The sequence below is a fragment of the Homo sapiens genome, chromosome 4 (genome assembly GCF_000001405.40).
Source record: "Homo sapiens chromosome 4, GRCh38.p14 Primary Assembly".
Classification (NCBI taxonomy): Eukaryota; Metazoa; Chordata; class Mammalia; order Primates; family Hominidae; genus Homo; species Homo sapiens.
The window spans coordinates 71,517,491-71,535,095 of record NC_000004.12 but is presented as its reverse complement, the minus strand read 5'-3'; the positions used below and the strand labels follow the sequence as shown (position 1 = coordinate 71,535,095).

The 17,605-nt window shown below is 37.4% G+C and overlaps 1 protein-coding gene across 13 annotated transcripts in view; it reads right to left on the bottom strand.

Moving 5' to 3' along the window:
- SLC4A4 (solute carrier family 4 member 4) overlaps nt 1–17,605 on the bottom strand; it is a 509,424-nt gene that overhangs the window by 36,988 nt on the left and 454,831 nt on the right. For all 13 annotated transcript variants that reach the window (XM_024454268.2, NM_001440628.1, NM_001134742.2 and 10 more), the window contains 2 exons: nt 2,921–3,034; nt 708–869 (listed from right to left, as the gene is read on the bottom strand). In XM_024454268.2, the coding sequence (XP_024310036.1) occupies nt 708–869; nt 2,921–3,034 (276 nt within the window). The remainder of the gene's footprint in view (nt 1–707; nt 870–2,920; nt 3,035–17,605) is intronic.

Below are 17,605 nucleotides of genomic sequence, written 5' to 3'. Positions count from 1 at the left end.
ATTATTGTTACCATTCATATCTCACTTCTTCAAATGGTATTGTAAAAATCCATTGCAACTAAAAAAGTCACTGGAGCTGGAAAAACATTATATAAAGTAAGAGCATTTTAGGCAGCTCTCTTGAAAGATATCCCAGACCACTAAGGCATTTTCTTTAGACTCATAACAAAGTTAATAACTGATTTTTAAAATGTCCAAAATAAAGCATTTTTCTCCCTTCTTTATGGTTAATAACATACTGACACAAGTATGTGAAGACAAAAAACAGGATGTACACCACCAGCTTACAACCATGAACTATCTGAATAATCTTTAAGAATAAACCTGAGTTGATTTAAGAGAAAGCAGATGCTCAGTATAAATTAATTAAATCTTTGATTGTCATTGTCTTTATTGAGGATAGTTACTCCACTAAAATCAGATGTAGGATGACTGTGGCTAAATAGTAAATTATGTTTGTATTCTCTTTGCTGGTGAAAGAAATATGATTTGAAACCTTTTTTTTTTTTCAGATTTAAATGAGCTCTCCCTAAAGTGTTATATTGAAGACATGTACCAATACAAAGTGATCTCTGGTTCTGCGGACTCTTAAGGAACATTAGCTATAGTAACTCCCAACAAAGCTCCCTTGGTTTTTAATCAATTAGTGTTTTCAAGTACTAAAAAGAAAGTAGAAGGCAATGACAGACATTATTATGGACACTTACCTTGAGTTTATGTTCTTTCCTGTTTACAATCACAGCTGTAATTTGTTGGTCCATGAAAATCAGTATAGTGACCAACAAAGCCGGGATAGCAGCAGCAAGGCACACCCACCAGGGGTTTTCTCCAAACGGTGGAACGAACCAACCTCGGTTTGGACTTGTTGGCTTGAAAAAGACAGATGACATTTTTCAGAAAATTATCAGGTTAATATATACTATTTGGTGAAAAAACCAACGGGAAGACATGCTTTTATATTTGGATAACCAACATATTGAGAAATATAAACAGTTATGAGCTAGAGAATGAAGATTATTCACCAAAACTCTCCCAAAGGATGTTATTTTTGAGGCAATTCTTTAAAGAAAGTAGAGAAAGAGTATGGGCTGTTGGAAAATAAGTGAATGGCATTTTGCATATTTGGGATGGTTTAAGATAAGGACTCAAAATGGAAGAAACTGATTTAAGTTTAAAGAGTAGCCAGAAGAAAACTCCAAATGTAAAAAGGTAAAAAGGTAGCAAGTAAAAAGTAAAAGGTAAAAAGTAAAAAGATAGCAAGAAATTCAGTAAAAAGGTAGCAAGAAATTACCAAATCACCATGAATTTTGTTCATGGGTTTTAGCAATTATAATGAAATTGTTTATACTATTGCCGAATTTTAACAGCTTCATAATATATATAAAAAGCCATAACTGTTTTTATATAAGTGAACTAATGTAAAAATTCTGGTCTCTTATTTTACATATGAAATAATGATCTATAATAACTGGGTAAATTTTAGGAAAATCACAAAAAAAAACTGGAAAAAACTGTCATTTTTGCAGTTCTTAGTCTGTTTTCCATCAGTAGATCATATATGTCTACTACAGAAAAAAAAGGGTTTCCTACGCTTTTCCTTACATTCAACAATGCAAATAAAAAACTAAAATAGAACACTGTGAATTATTTTCTCCATATTTGCTATCAAGAAAGTCTCACTTCTCTTCTGAGGACATTCCCATCATCTGTCTCATAATTCTGTCACTGAATCTAACCTCATTTTACTACAATTAGCAGATGTGAGCTTGTCAGGGAAAAAAATTTGTCTTACTCATCAATGCATTTCAAATTTCCAGCTTAGAGCCTGACTCAATATTCAATAAATATTAACTCAAATGAATTAATGGTTGAATGGGTGAGAACTTATCTTTACTAATGAATATGTGATAGCAGAGACAATTCAAAAAATAATGTGTGTTATAACATATATATCCCTTCCTCATTAAGCAGTTATTAAACTAAAACTGCAACTAGCTTAATAATTCTTAGCAAATATATGATCTCAGTAGTGGAGGGAAGGAGGATTATTCTAGAAAATAGATAAAAGACTTGTAGTGAAAAATTAGCTAGGAATATATTTAGGAATGACTGGAATGTAAATTTTATCCATTACCTACACATATCAATAGGTTCGTAAGTTAAGTAATTATTATATCTACTTTGTAATAATTACAATTCACATTATATATACATGCGTGTGGTAGGTAGTTTCATAGCATGAAAAGAGTATTAGACTAGACTTCTGGAGGCTTGGGTTCTAACTTCACATCTTGACATTACTAGTTCCATAATCTTAGGCATTTTACTTAATTCTTTGAGCTTCAATCTTAACTTTATAAAATCAGGATGATGACCAGACTGGGTAATATAGTGAGACCTTGTCTCTACAAAACATTAAAAAATTAGCTGGGGGTGGTGGTATGTGCCTACAGCACCAGCTACTTGGGAGGCTAATGTGGGAGGATTCTTTGAACCTAGGAGGCAAAGGTTGCAGTGAGCTGAGATTGCACCACCACACTCCAGCCTAGGCAACAGAGCAAGGCCCTGTCTCAAAAAAGAAAAAATCAGGAGGATGATAGTTACAATACGTATTTCCCAGAGTCATTATATAGATCAAGGTAATAAGTTATATAAAATATTTTGGATATTTATTCTAAAACTATAAGCCAGAGTTTATAATAGTATTATCAGTTGTTTTAAATAAAAACCCTAGTCTTGACATTTAATTGTAGTGAAGAAATTAAACTACATGTATATATGAGCCTAAGAGGGACTGATTTTGGAAAAAAAATATGGATAATTGTACAAAACTAACTCAAAGAGAAACACAATAAATTAGAATAGGGGGAAAGAAAGAAAAAGAGTTCCAGGAATGACCAAAAGATAGACATTCACCTACCTTGAACTCACTTGGCACAATTAGTTTTGGGGTGTCCACGCCTACTAGGGCATCTATTACACAAAAGATGAGAATGGACAAGATAATGGCAAAATCACTGATCAGTTTTCTTGCCTGGAAAAATAAAAAAGAAACCAGGAACCATTTAGCACCAGATACATATATTTGTCTGTGTTTGAACTGAATGAAGAACTTTGTATTTGCTAATAGTTTATAGCAACAGCTTCATCAACAAATTGAAGGAGGTATCAGAGTGCAGAAAAATTATTTTTAAAATTGTTTTTGTATTAGTACATCACCTGGCTAGATAATGTAATGTATCCCAAAGAACAGGTTGCGCTCGCTCTTTCTCTCTCTCTCTCTCTCTTTCTGTGTGTGTGTGTGTGTGTGTGTGTGTGTGTGTGTGTGTGTGTGTGTGTGTAGGCAGGGAGGGCAATCAAATAGAACGTACCCCTGAGATACTGTATAAACTCATCCTGCTTGCAACATGAAGGTCACCTGCATAAGAATGAAAACTAAGTACATATTATAAAAATCTGCACAACAACATAGAAATTCTGTGTGTTATTTGGGAGGCAGCACTGTGAGTACAGAGTAAGATAAATCTCATAAGACAGCCTGAAAACACCAAAAATCTAGCATGGGAGGGCTTAGAAGTTTCTGTCCCTTGAGTGAAGTAAATATCAAGACCTCAAAGTAATGTCAAGTGATGAAAGATAGAAATGTCACAGCTGCACTAGTTTTGTCAAATAAAATATTTCTCAATCCAGGTTAGTACTTAAAGTCTCACGTATGTGGGACATCTCTCCTCTACCACTTCTTGCATGTGACTGCCATTATCTGATAACTCTCCAAATTTCTCTGGTCAGGACAAGGTCTGGGCTTTAAGGAATACAGCATTAAACTATGACCATTCCCATGAAGTGGGTGAATAATGGCCATTTGCAAGTTGGTAAGGGGAGCATATACCATTTGTTTGCTTGAGATTGTTCTGTAGTCTCTAGTGGCACTAATGAGGACTAAGGGCATTACCAGAGCACAGATACCTGAGCTTCCCATACGGTGCATACACATGTTAGCACATAATTTAATCATTCAACAAGAATTTACTCAGTTCCCAATACTTTTCTTGGTGCTAAGGATACCACAGTAAATAAAACCGATACAATTCATGTCCTCATGAAGCTCATAGCCAAGTTATATACAAGGAAGCCTGCTCCTAAATAAAACCAAGGTTGAGTCAGAGGTTATGAAGTTATCTCAGGGTGAGCAGTCAGCTTCTGATGCTGCTGGATGAAGGAAGGGAGATCAGTGATGGGCTGAGTGGATGCACGCCTCTGAAGACAAAGGATTTCTTGAAAGAGAATAGTATTACTGCAGCCAGGTAGTCAACAGAAACTAAAATGAGGAATGAAAATTACTTGGCAAGGTGGGTAAGGTAAAAGCCCTAGTGTTCAATGCTTGACCTTTACCAGGTGTCAGGAGCCTGATACTAACTAGCAGCAGGATCAGAGCTGTTCCTTTTGGCCTGGAGTTCCTTTCTTTCTTGGAGGGCTAGATTTGCTAGGTTTAGCTTTCTTGAAAAGTACATACTGAGGAAGAGAAGGCCAGCCTTTTATGAGCAACTTAACATCAATTATACACAATAATGTTAAGAACCAATAGATGGCAGGAATCAATTTGGGTAGATAATATAGTACAGCAGTTGGGAGCACAACCACTATTGGAACTCCTGCACCATTATTTCCTATTTGTAAATACCTACCCTTTCTTAGCTTCAATTACTTCATCTGCAAAACATAGCCAAAATAATCCCTACAACTTCATTGGTTTGTTATCAGAATTAAGTAAGAAAAGCCATGAAAGTGCTTAACAATATTGCCTGGAACATAATAAACTCTCCTAATATAAGTTAATTATTGTTATTTCAAGTTCTAGAAGTTCTCATGGCTGCAGACCACTGGAATAACTAAATGATCTACTGTCAGGTGGTCTTTGAAATGAAACTTCAAATCCAAGAAATAAAAAATTAAAAGCCCATTAATGACATGGAACTGCCACTCAGAGCTAATTTTGGTTAGAAGTATCTGGAGTCACAGCAAAAAAAGGATGTTTCTTAGGGGCTCAATACTGGAGAAAACTCATTTATTAAGTTTTGTGCAAGTAGTGTTGACACTGGCAGTTCAGGGTGGTCTGGCAAAAGATGGTCCTATGAAGCAGTTCAGGAGTATGTCAGGAAGTTACAAACACCCCTCTAGACCAGTAGGTCATAAATCACTGGAGGACCAGAGGTCATTGCAAAGGCAAAATGGAAGTTAGTTCTTATTTACCACCCTTACAATCCTCACCTAGAAAATGCAACTAGTGGGCAACACAAATATCCTATAAGTTGTTCGAAAGAAGAGAAATAGTTATTTAAAAGGCAGATAGCTTTCCTCCTTTTTTTAATAAACAGGAGAGGGGAAATAGATGGGAGCAAATAAATTCAATCTGCAATTCTTTGGTAGAAATTCCCATAGGACATATACCTCTGGTCCTGGTGGAGGACTGACTTGCTTGACCAAAGTCACTACCAGGCACCTGGGCAATTCTGCTTCTTTAGTTGGTAGAGGAGGCATTCTCAGCTTTCCATAAACTGGACGCCCTGCAAAACCTACATGGCAAACTGAACCTCATCACTGAGAGCCCATGTATGGGGCTGCTAATTTGGCCACACTACTCCAAGAGATAGTGAGATCAAGACGCATGATTCCAAGTACCAACAAAGAGAAAATGCCCTGAAAGATCTATACTGCTTTAAGAAATTATTTAAGGTATAATACTGTTGAAAGAAAAACAATGATTTTTTTTCAGACAAATATACCAGCTGTATTTTAATTTGGATGTTGGTTACACAAATGTATAATCTGTGAATTTTACTATGCAAATTAAAGCTCAATTTAAAATGTACCCCAACACCCCCTCAAAATCCCAGAACTTCCAAATCCAAATCAGGGCTGTTTTTCAAATTATTCTCTTTGGGAAGCTATCCATTTCTTTTAATGGTGTTGCTATTGTTCCAAAAATTAAAAATTCCTTTTATAGTTTTAGTACTGAGCAAAGACTGTTTGATTACCCACATTAACTATCGCACATGCCTGAAGAACCATAATTCTATCTTCTTTGAAATATATTTTTTGTTTCAAAATTAATATATGTTCATTGTAGAATATTTAGAAAAAATAATGAAAAAAGAAAATGTTTTTCAATTCTACTATGTAGAGATGAATTTTAACACTTGCAAATATATCCTTTTCTACATATTTATGTCCATATATATGTGTACATACAGAATTTTTCACATACTGTTTGATATTTTGATTTTTCCACTTTTATTCTATTTCATTTGATATTTTCCATAATATTATACGTTGTTGACTCCATAGTATTATGCTGAATGGTTATCCTAAAATCTATTTTTCTAATACTCTACTGTTTAGATTGTTTTTAACTTTTCACTATAATGAACAATATCATAAAAAAAATCTTTGCACATATATATAAGACTGTTTCCTTAGAATAAATTCCTGTCAGAAGAGTTACTATATCAATGTCTATATAAAAATTTAAGTGTTTTGGTATATGATGCCAATTACCTTCTAGAATGTTATATTGATTTTCCAATTTTCGCTCTATTCAACAACACACAAATTACTGCAGATACTCTGTAAAGTTAAATCCATTCAAAGCAAAAGAAATTTGTCAACAATGAGGATATTCAAAAGAATATAAAATTGTCAAATCTCCTAAAATTATAATTTCTGTAGCTTAATGAAGCAACTGAATTTCTTACTCCATTCTGAACTCTCATATTTAATACAGAGCCTACACAGATATATCACCCTCTAAAGATGGCATTAACATATATTCTCAAGAGTATCTCATTAAACTTCAAAAACCTCATATTACATGGACAGAGAGTAAATGCAGAACTATCAGTGGATCCGGAAGGAACTCTGATAGCAGGATATGTGTATGGAAATAGTCCAATTATCCAATATAATTTTTCAAAAGCAACTGTCTGTAATATACCAGTTACCATGTTCTGATCTAAGAATACTATGGCATTCTGAAGACATTTTGGAAATCAGATCTAGCAGACCTGACTTGCATCCTACTTCACTGGCTACTCTAGTTCTTCTTTGCTGGTTTCCTTTCAACTCCTCCAAACTCTTGAGATTGCAGTGTTCCAGAGTTCAGACTTTGGTCTCTTCTTTCCTATCTATATTCTCTCCCTAAGTGATTACATTCACTCTCATGCTTTAAAATGCCATTTACATGCTAAAGAACAAAAAATTTATATTTCTAGGCTAGACCACTCTTCCAAATTCCAGAATTATCTATCTAACTACCTGACACCTCCACTTGGATTTTTTATATATACTGAAGGAAGACAAATAGTTATTTAAAAGGCAGATAGCTCTCCTCCTTTTTTTTTTTAATAAAGAGGAGAAGGGAAATACACGGTGGCAAGTAAATTCAATCTGCAATTCTTTGGCAGAAATTCCCATAGGACCTATACCTCTGGCCCTGGTGGAGGACAGACCTGCTTGACTAAAATCACTACCAGGCATCTCAAACTTATGCAAAAACTAAGTGCTTGATCTCCCCCTGGCTCCTCTTCCCTGGCCCACACTGCCCCACCACTGACACCCTAAACCTGCTCTTTGAATAGTTTTCTCTATCTTAATTAATGCCAGCTTAATTTTCCCCATTGCTCAGACCTAAAACTTCGGAATATACTCAACTCTTCTTTCTTTTATATCCCACATCTAATTGGTCAGCAAATTATGTTGAAAATATGTCTAGGATCCTGCCACTTCTCATCACCTCCATTGCTAGTACCACCCTGTTTAAGCCACCATTTTATCTCATATGGTTTACTACATTAGCTTCCTACATAGTCTTCCTGCTTCTGCACTTGCGCCCCTTCAGTGCACTATTAACATAGCACCCAGTGTACTCATCTTAAAATTTAAGTCAGATACTGTGGTAAGCAGATTAAAGTATAATATACCCCTAAAGATGCCCACGTCCTAATTCCCACAACCTGTGAATATGTAATGTTACATGGCTAGGGCAAATTAAGGTTGCAGAGAAAATTAATGTTGCCAATCCACTAGTTTAGGAAGATTAGCCTGAATTAAACAGGTGGGTCCAATGTAATCACAGGGGTTCTTGTAAATGAAAGAAGGAGGCAGGAGAATCAGTGTCAGAATAATAAAGTGTGAGAAAGACTTGACTGGCCACTGCTGGCTATAAAGTTGAAGAAAAGAGTCATGAGCCAAAGAATGCAGGCAGCCCCTAGGTGGTAGAAAAGTCAAAGAAACACATTCTCCCCTAGAGCCTCGAGAAGGAATGCAGTCCTGCCCACACCTTGATTTTAGCCCACTGAGGCCCATTTCAGATTTCTGATCTCCAGATCTCAATTTTGACATCCAGATCTGACCTCTCAGATATAAATTTTGTTGTTTTAAGCCACCATGTATGTGGTGACTTGACAAAACAGCCATAGAAACTAATAACATATAAACAAACAGAGATATGTTAATGATACGTATAATATGATGTATATACATAATACATATGTATATACGTGATGGCACTTACTTGTCAAGTGTGGCATTATTACAGTACAGGCATAAAAGTAGCTAAAAACACTCATGTTAATACATGTCAGGATTACAGTTCTTAAAATTTATGGAGAAAAAAGCCACCCTATTAATAGTGTTGCTTAACCTCATTAAAAATCACAGTCAGGGTGATATAGTCTGCATAACATACAAACTTCTATTTCCACTTCCTTCCCCTTAAATTGTATAATATTAGTTTAATTACAGCAGAAATCACTCCTGGAGAGTGTTTATTATTAAGATATTCATTTCTGAGATCTTGAATCCAGTTTAAACTTCACAGTCAAGGAAATTGATTTTCCCCAGACCACTGTTATATTCAACTCTAAATCCCCTAATTAGAGAAGACAGGTAGGGGTGCTATTTTAGCAGGCTATTCATGTCTTACTCTATACTAAAATGAAACTTTAATTTGAGCTAGGCAAAACTGACATAGTAGAAGTAGAAAGTGCCCTAAAAATGTCTAGCAATGAGTACATAGTCTACTAGATACACAATGGGGTCTGTAAATAAGACTTCTCAGTCCGACTTTAAGGAGATAAGAACTGCTCTCTTTGGGCCCTTCTCACAGTTTTAAGCGCATTTAGAAAAGAAGAGTATGTGATTTTCTTTCATCATTTGTTTTCCCTTTCATTTCATCAAACTTGATCTCTTTCAAAAACTCCAAAAACATCCTGCTATGTAGGTCAATATATCAATAAAGATATCAAATTAGAAAGTCATAGTTCCTAATTCTCTACTATTAACAGCTGTTACTGGTAATGGTTAAAAGTAGAAGTGCCAAGGTTTTCATGAGAAAACCTGTTCCCTCAAGAGTTCATGCCCAAACCTGTGGCTTCAGAGCCCTCAAATCTAGCTTGAACAAACATCATAAATTGTGGTTGTCCATCCAAATCAAATGTTAAGTCTCTCCAGGCTCAAACTTCAATATCTTAGGAATATAAATTATCACAATCTAAGAGAACACAAATTAAGATAATTAATAGATAGCAAGAGCTTGCCATGAAAAAAGTTTTTAAAAATGATACATGGATGTGCTACAGCATATAATTTCTACCTCAATTTATGAAAGACGGAAAGAGAAGCATGTCTCAGTTAAGACTGTAATGCCTTTTTTATATCAGACTAGTTTTGAACTCTTTCATTTTTGTTTACTATTTTTAATTATAAAAATGAAGAGGAGAATAATATTTCTGTCCTCTGCGGGATTAATTAGACAGTATCTCAATTAATCTAATAAGAAGCCAGCAGCTTAAATATTTAAACTACCAAAGCAAAGAAGAAATTAAGTGGATGGAAAAGGAAATTCAAATAAACATATGCTGTTCTCTCCTTCTTTGGCAAAACAACTTAATAAATCTATTATAAACATAATATCCATGAAAGATGATACTGTATTAATTATTGAGAGAGTCACAATCATAGAGACACTAACAGTGAGAAGCCAGTTAATTTACAGTGGAAAAATGAATTAGGTTTCTTGGAAATCCCAGAGGACATTTGGTTTTCACTTTGCAAGGGCTGCAGCTGCTCCTAAATTAACTGGAGGGAAAGGGCCATGAGTCTACAGAGCAGTTCTCAATGGATACAGCTGTTATAAAGAGACAAGGACAACGACAGGCACCCTGTGGGCTCTCAGTACATTTTAACTTATGATGTCAATTCCTCTAGTGATTGTGGTGCTTGGAAAATGCTAAACAGCAGTGTAAAAAAGCATTTATTTTACATGAAAGAAAAATTATGCCAGACAATTATGGCTATTTTGGTAATCACAAAAAGGCACCAAAATACCCTAAAAGTTTGAAATATGACCCCCCAGTAGCCAATGCTATAAAGCACTATGCAAAAAAAAAAGCATTAATAGTAGTCATAGCAATAATCCTAATTCACTGTACTTTGATTCAATAATACCCACTATAATCAGAATTTAATAAAAGGAAAGTCTGATTTTGACTCTACGATTTTAGTGCCATAAGTTCTAAGTCAAAGAGATTTGAGGAGCAAAGAAGAGAGATGAACTGGAGAATTTATCTGGGTCGGGCTTGGAGCTTGACAATGGAAGTCTACAGGAAGGAGAGTAAGCCTAGTGAAGTGGTTCAGCAAAGATGCTGAGGAGACTTTGGCAATCACTAAAAGACCTTTTCTTCCATTCTGTCTCAAAAGAACACAGTAGAACAAGAAACCCAATGTGTGTATACCAGAAGCAAATGATCAAACCACATGGAAAATACTACATCTCAATCTGGTTACTATCTTCTAAATTAAAACTGAAAATCTGGAGCTAATCTAGAAAAGGTCAGCCGGAGGATTTGGGAATACAGAAAACACATCACAAGAAAAATGATGGCAGGCCTAAAGACATTGCAGGGAGAATTTGTCTTCAACTATGTGAAGTCTATCACAGGAAAGAGAAATTAACTTGTTCTGTGTAGCTCCAGATGGCAAGTGCAGACCCTGTGGACAGAGGCTACGGAAAGGTAGATTTGTGTTTCTATCAAGAATGCCTGCAGGATGCTAGGTTCCTGTTCTAGGAAGCATTCAAGCAGCATGAAGCTCACATGTCAGCAGTGATGTTACACTAGATGGTGTTTAAAGTCCTAACACTAAAATTCATTAAGACCAAATTATCAACATTCCTTGAACCTCTAATAGAGTTATCTTAGATAAAACTCAAATAAATCACTATCATAAAGGGTTCCAGGGCCTAAAAAGAAGATGGTTTTACAATTTATATTAATACACAAGAGTAAAAGTTTAAAAATAATAATTAATCAGTCATATGTATAACTTAGACAATCCCAAAATGGGATAGGAGACCATTTTGTGTTAGTGCAGGGATTTCAATGTTGTTGACTTTTCTCTGATGGATAAATAAGCTGAAAGTGCTCAGGACCAAGAGGTTTCCATGGTTAAAGTTATTACTTCTATCCACAGACTACCTCTTTGCAACCACTAAAAGCTTTCTCGAAATGTTTTGGCCAATCACTGCTCCCAACCTATTTTTCTTGGGGCTCAATTCAGGTCGACTGTGTTTTTATTTTTGGTCATATGTCTGTAAGAACTGAAGTATTTGTATAGTTTTTGTTAAATGTTTAACAGACTAAGTTGCATTTATAACTAAATATCCCTTTGTCATTCTTAAGAAAATAAGTATAAAAACAATTTTGGATTAAAAACAAATTTGACTTTAAAAATTATTTTCCTTGATATAAAATACCTCAAGAATTTGAAAATCTGGTTCTCCTTTAGTGATAGCAGAGTCGTTTGCTTTGTTGTCACTAAAGAAGACAAATGCCACCCAAGATGGCGAACACTAAAGTGAGACATATAATACATGCCCATTATTTCTTACTCCTGTTTTAATATATTGTTTTAGTTTGACAATTTTTACCATTCACCAAGATAATTTTTGAGAGCAAAAGAAACCAGAATGGGGATGTCATCTGATTCTTGTAAAGGGCTGTTTATAACCTAAACACATGCAATTTTAATAGAATGGCCACAGACCAAAATGTCAATTAAAAAAATGGTTCTAGAATACAGCTAATTGTACAATTCTAGACTTTCCTGTGTCTTACATCAATAAAAACTAAATGCTGTCACCTAACTAAAATGCTCATTATGTTTTCATTAAAGTTTCTGAAGCGCCACACTTCAAAGAACATTCTGCATTATCTAAATATAGCATAGAAGGTGTTACAGCTATTGATGTTACCTGGAATTTAGTGATTTTGTTTATTTAAATGACAATAACAACAAGGAAGTATATTAAAAATAATCTTATGATTACACCAATTCATGTGAGGGTTAGAATTAATGCATATTCTAAGGAAGAAAATTAGAAAATCAAGAAGTTCCTTAAGAATGGCATTCTTGGGCCTGTTACATATGCCAGCCACACTGAATGTGACTATATCAAAGTATCAATAATTTTGCCTAATTCATGCGGTTCTGTGACTTTCTGATTTCTACTAGTCCCAATACTGCTGTTTTTAAACTATGGTTTTCATTTTGCCACCACAAATCTGTGGCTTTCTGATTTCTACTAACCCCAATCCTGCTCTATTTTTAAGCTATGGTTTTCATTTGCCACCACATAGGCACATAAGGTGCGTGATGGCATCTTTGTTCCATGTTTATGATCATTTGTTGGTGTAGGACTCTGGAAGAACATTTCATGTTAATGCCCTGAGCCACCTGCCACAGAAAATCACAGATTATGCTGTGATATTCCTAATGGAAGTCTTGATGCTGAAAGAATTTGACTAAAGACTCTGACTAAAGACTCGAGGCTGATAGAACAGACCAGTTACAGTGTGGGATAACAGACTGATACACCCCTTTAAAAAGGATGGTGAATACAAAAAAGACTGTCAATGGAGTACTGGTATTTGACCCATGTTCCACTGAGCATTAGGGCTCTGTAGAACTGTCTAATACACAAATTAAATACCTGATAGACAGGGTAGAAAAGGTAATCTGTTTCATTTTAAGTGTTCATACTGAGGGATTGCTAGTGGCTCCGTGAGGTATGGAAAGAGACTGGGTCATTGACCATGGGCCTCAGCAAAGGTAATGGGAGCCAGAACGAGTGGAATCGAAGTGTAAGTGTAAAGGAGAAAGACTGCAGTGGAATAAACTTATCAGAAAAGGACTGTGATAAGTTTAATTTGATAAAGAAAAACCTGGAGTGCCACATGCAATGGACATCTTTCTTTGTCACACCAGATTCATCCTCTATCCCCCTCTACCACACTCTCTGCCTTAGGAAGTTAACCTGTGTGGTCGACTATGGGCTCCCCAGTCTCACTGTCTGGGACACCACATCTTCTGTGGTTTCCATATACTCTAACCTCACCTTCATAAATAGTGCCTTTATTAAATCCTCAAATTACCTTAATTTGAGCATACCATTTGCTTCCTGCTGGGATCTTGACTCATACACCAAATATGACTTAAAATTTTGATCAGACCATGTGTGGTGGCTAAGATCTGTAATCCCACTACTTTGTGAGGCTGAGGCAGGACGACTGTTTGAACCTAGGAGTTCAAGACTAGCCTGGGCGACACAGTAACACCCCATCTCTACAAAAATAAAAATAAAAAATTTTCCAGGCCTGGTGGAGTGTGACTGTAGTTCCAGCTACTCGGAAGACAGGAGAGAGGATCGCTTGATCCCAGGTGGTTGAGGCTGCAGTAAGCCATGATTACTCCACCGCACTCCAGCTTGGGTTACTGAATAAGACCTCATCTCATTTAAAAAAAATAAAGGAGAAGAAAAAAGATTTTGATCTTGGGTGGCCCTAAGGATAGGTGATGTTATTAGCTGAGATAAGGAATATAAGGAGCCAGATGTGGTGGCTCATGCCTGTCATAAATAATGCCTTTATCAAAACCTCACATTATCTTAACTTGAGCATATCCTTTGCTTCCTGATGGAATCCTGACTCATACACCAAATATGACTTTAAAATTTTGATCAGACCAGGTGCAGTGGCTCATGCCCATAATCCCAGCACTTTGGAAGGCTGAGTTGGGAGGATCACTCAAGGCCAGGAGTTCTGAGGTGGGAGGATCACTTGAGGCCAGGAGTTTGAGATCAAGCTAGGTAACACAGTGAAACCCCGTCTCTCTCTCCCACCCCTAGCCACCCCCCCAAAAAAAAGAAATACAGAGAAATGAGTAAGTTCAATTTTGACAAGAAAGTCAACCATGTTTTGAATTTGCCTTTGCTGTATGACAATTGTGAATCATCCACAAAGAGAGACTGGCAGATGTGATATGATGGAGATAATTATTTTTTGCTAATTTGTAAGGTTCAATCATTGCTATAAGCCTAGAAGAGTATAGGAAATGGAGCCAGAAAACTCCTTAAATTTATAAAGTACTAGAGCTCAAAAGGCTGTTAATTGTCATCTAGCCAAACTTTCCCTTTATAGGTGAGGTAACTGAAGTTTGTAGATAGCTATCAAAGAGCACATTGTTAGTCAGTGGTAGTGCTGGCACTAGAATCTACAGGTCCTGGATTCTCACACATTGTGCTCTTCCCACAAAATGCAGCACTAATCTGTACTTGACTGGTTTCCACTAGTCAAGAAGTATTGAGTACTTAGTCTGTATCCGACCTTGTGCTGGTTGATCTGACTAATAAAAGAGAAGTCTAAGTGTTTTAAAGTAGTTTAAAGTCTTAACAACTCATACAAATGTTTAAAAATGAGAGAACAAAAGAGAAATGACTGTGTAAGCTAAAGGAGAATGAGACATTTTGCATGGCAAGAACATTGTCACTCAACATGAGCATTTTGAGTCTTTAGAGGTTTCATGTGAATTGTTGGTGTGAGGAAGGAACTAAAAATAGCCTTGATTGTTTCCACAGCTATAAAAGCCTGTCTTATGTATAATGTTTAAGCATATGTTTTAATTATAAAACACTATTTAAGAATATATATTAGAATCTATACACCTGTCTGCACCTACCTACAGAAACCACATTTTAAAATGTCAGCTTAAATTAAAACATATTTTGGCGAATGAGAGATAAAAATGATATTCTTGGCCAGGTGCAGTGGCTCACGCCTGTAATACCAGCACTTTGGGAGGGCAAGGCGGACAGATCACTTGAGGTCAGGAGCTCAAGACCAGCCTAGCCAACATGGTGAAACCCAGTCTCTACTAAAAAAACAACAACAAAAAAATACAAAATATGCTGGGCATGGTGGTGTACACCTGTAAACCCAGCTACTCAGGAGACTGATGCAGGAGAATTGCTTGAACCCAGGAGGCGGAGGTTACAGTGACCCAAGGTCATGCCACTGCACTCCAGCCTAGGCAACAGAGCGAGACTCTGTCAAAAAAAATGATGTTCTTAATATTCATTTATGTATGCATATGTATTTATGTATATATTATTACTTAGCTGTAAATGTGAAATGAGTTGGGGTATAAGGGAGGATGACAGACTGAAAACCTACACAGTTACACACTGACCTTTAGAAATCACACATACTTTCTCCTCTCTGTGTATTTTATAATTTGGTATATACAATTCTAAACTATGCTGAGAACTTTCTTTAAAAGAATTGTAACTAGAATGCTATCATTATTCTAGTTTTACATTGTCATGACATTCTTAGCAATATTTATCAATGACTGAGAAATTACCTGCTTAGGCTCTTATGAGGGGAGAATTTCTTTAAGTCTGAAGAGTTATCCTCAACTTGGGTGTTACTGCCAGAAGGAAAAGGTTTTGGATACATAGAAAGTTAAAATGACCATTCTATTTAGTCTGGGAAATGATATCAGCAAGATGGCAGACTAAGACTTTCCAATGGTCATTGCCCTGCAGAAACATAAATTTGAACAACTAGGCACTGATTAAAATACTTTCACAAGAGCTAAGGGAACAGATTAACATAGAAATAAGAAAAGACACATTGAAGAAGGTAGGAAGGACAGTTTTACACTCTCCACATTACCCCTTCTTCAACCTCAGGCAACACATCCTGGAGAGGGAAACCCTCTGTTTGAGAGGAGAGGGAAATGAGTACCAGTCTTTGCCTTGGACACCAACACCAGGTCTGTCCCGGTAAAACCCAAATGAAGGGTAGGCCCCCACAACCCCAGACTCTAGTTGGTAGAGAACCCCAGACTCTAGGATCAACCACAGACTGATCCGGGTTGCCCCCACACCAGGCTGGCTCAGCAATCCCATGCTCCTGGCCTGCTCTGGGGACTTGGTCTTTGGGCCCACCCCACTGCCAGGCCAAACCCAGTGGCCCTAGGCTCCAGATGAGCCCCAGGTCCAGGGTAACCCCAGGTATAATAGGCTCTGAACACCCCCAGCACCAGGCCAGACTCTATGGCCCTAGTCCTCAGGTCACCAGCTGCAGACCCAGCCTCCAGACCAGTCCCTGCCAATACAGGCTCCAGGCCTGTCCAGCATCACATCAGCCCCTGTGGCCTCAGGCTCCAGGCCCACCCCAGGTTCCAGACTAGTGTAGAGTGAGGTCAGCCCAGAGAGCCCCAGACTTCAGGCCTGCTGCAGAACCATGCCAGCACCCCTGGCCTTAGGCACCAGGTAAGTACCATGCATATAGGCTCCAGGCTTGCCCAGTACCAGGTCAGTCCCTGTGGCTCCACCCTCCAGGCTAGACCCTTAAGCCCCACACTCCAGCAGATCTAGGATCCAGGCCCACTTCAGCAGACCCATGTTTCAGGACAGCCTCTGTGGTTGCATGACCCACAATAGCCCTCACAGACTTAGTCTCCAGGCAAGCACCCATACAACCAGCTTCCAGGCTGGCCCCCACAGCCACAGGCACCAGACCAGTCACTTTGGCTTCAGGCATTAGGCCAGCCTCTATGATCCCAAACTCTACACCTACCCCAGCACCAAGCCAGCCTCAGGCTCTAGGCTGGTACCCATGGAGCCAGGCTCTAGTAGACACAGGGTCCACACCCACCCCACTACATCCTGAAGCCAGGAAGACTCCTTGAACCAAGGCTCCTGGACCACTCCTACAGACTCAAGTTCTAGGCCAGCCCTCATGGACCCAGGCCCCAGGCCTGCCCTCAAGGACTTAGGCTCCAGTTCCAAACCATGGACCCAGGTGCCAGGTGCACTCACCTGTTTACACAAGAACCAGGTCAGCCTAACTGGGAAGTCCTGCAGCAAGCCTGCCTGTGGAACACAACAGAAAACCTGCCATAATCTCTAGACAGGCTGATTGGTGAAAAACTTTTCCAGACAAAGACATTCTGCAAGGACTGAAATTAGTCTCTATGTCTTCAAATGCACAGAAACAAATCAGGAGCTACAAGACCAAGAACAATCAAGGAAACATGACACCACTAAAGGAAAAAATAAAGCCCCAGTAATCATCCCTCAAAAATGAAGATATATGAACTATCGAAGAATTCAAAATAATTATTTTAAGGAAGCCCAGCAAACTTTCTAAAAAGACAGGATGCTACAAAATCAAGAAAACAATAAATGACCAAAACTAGAAATGTA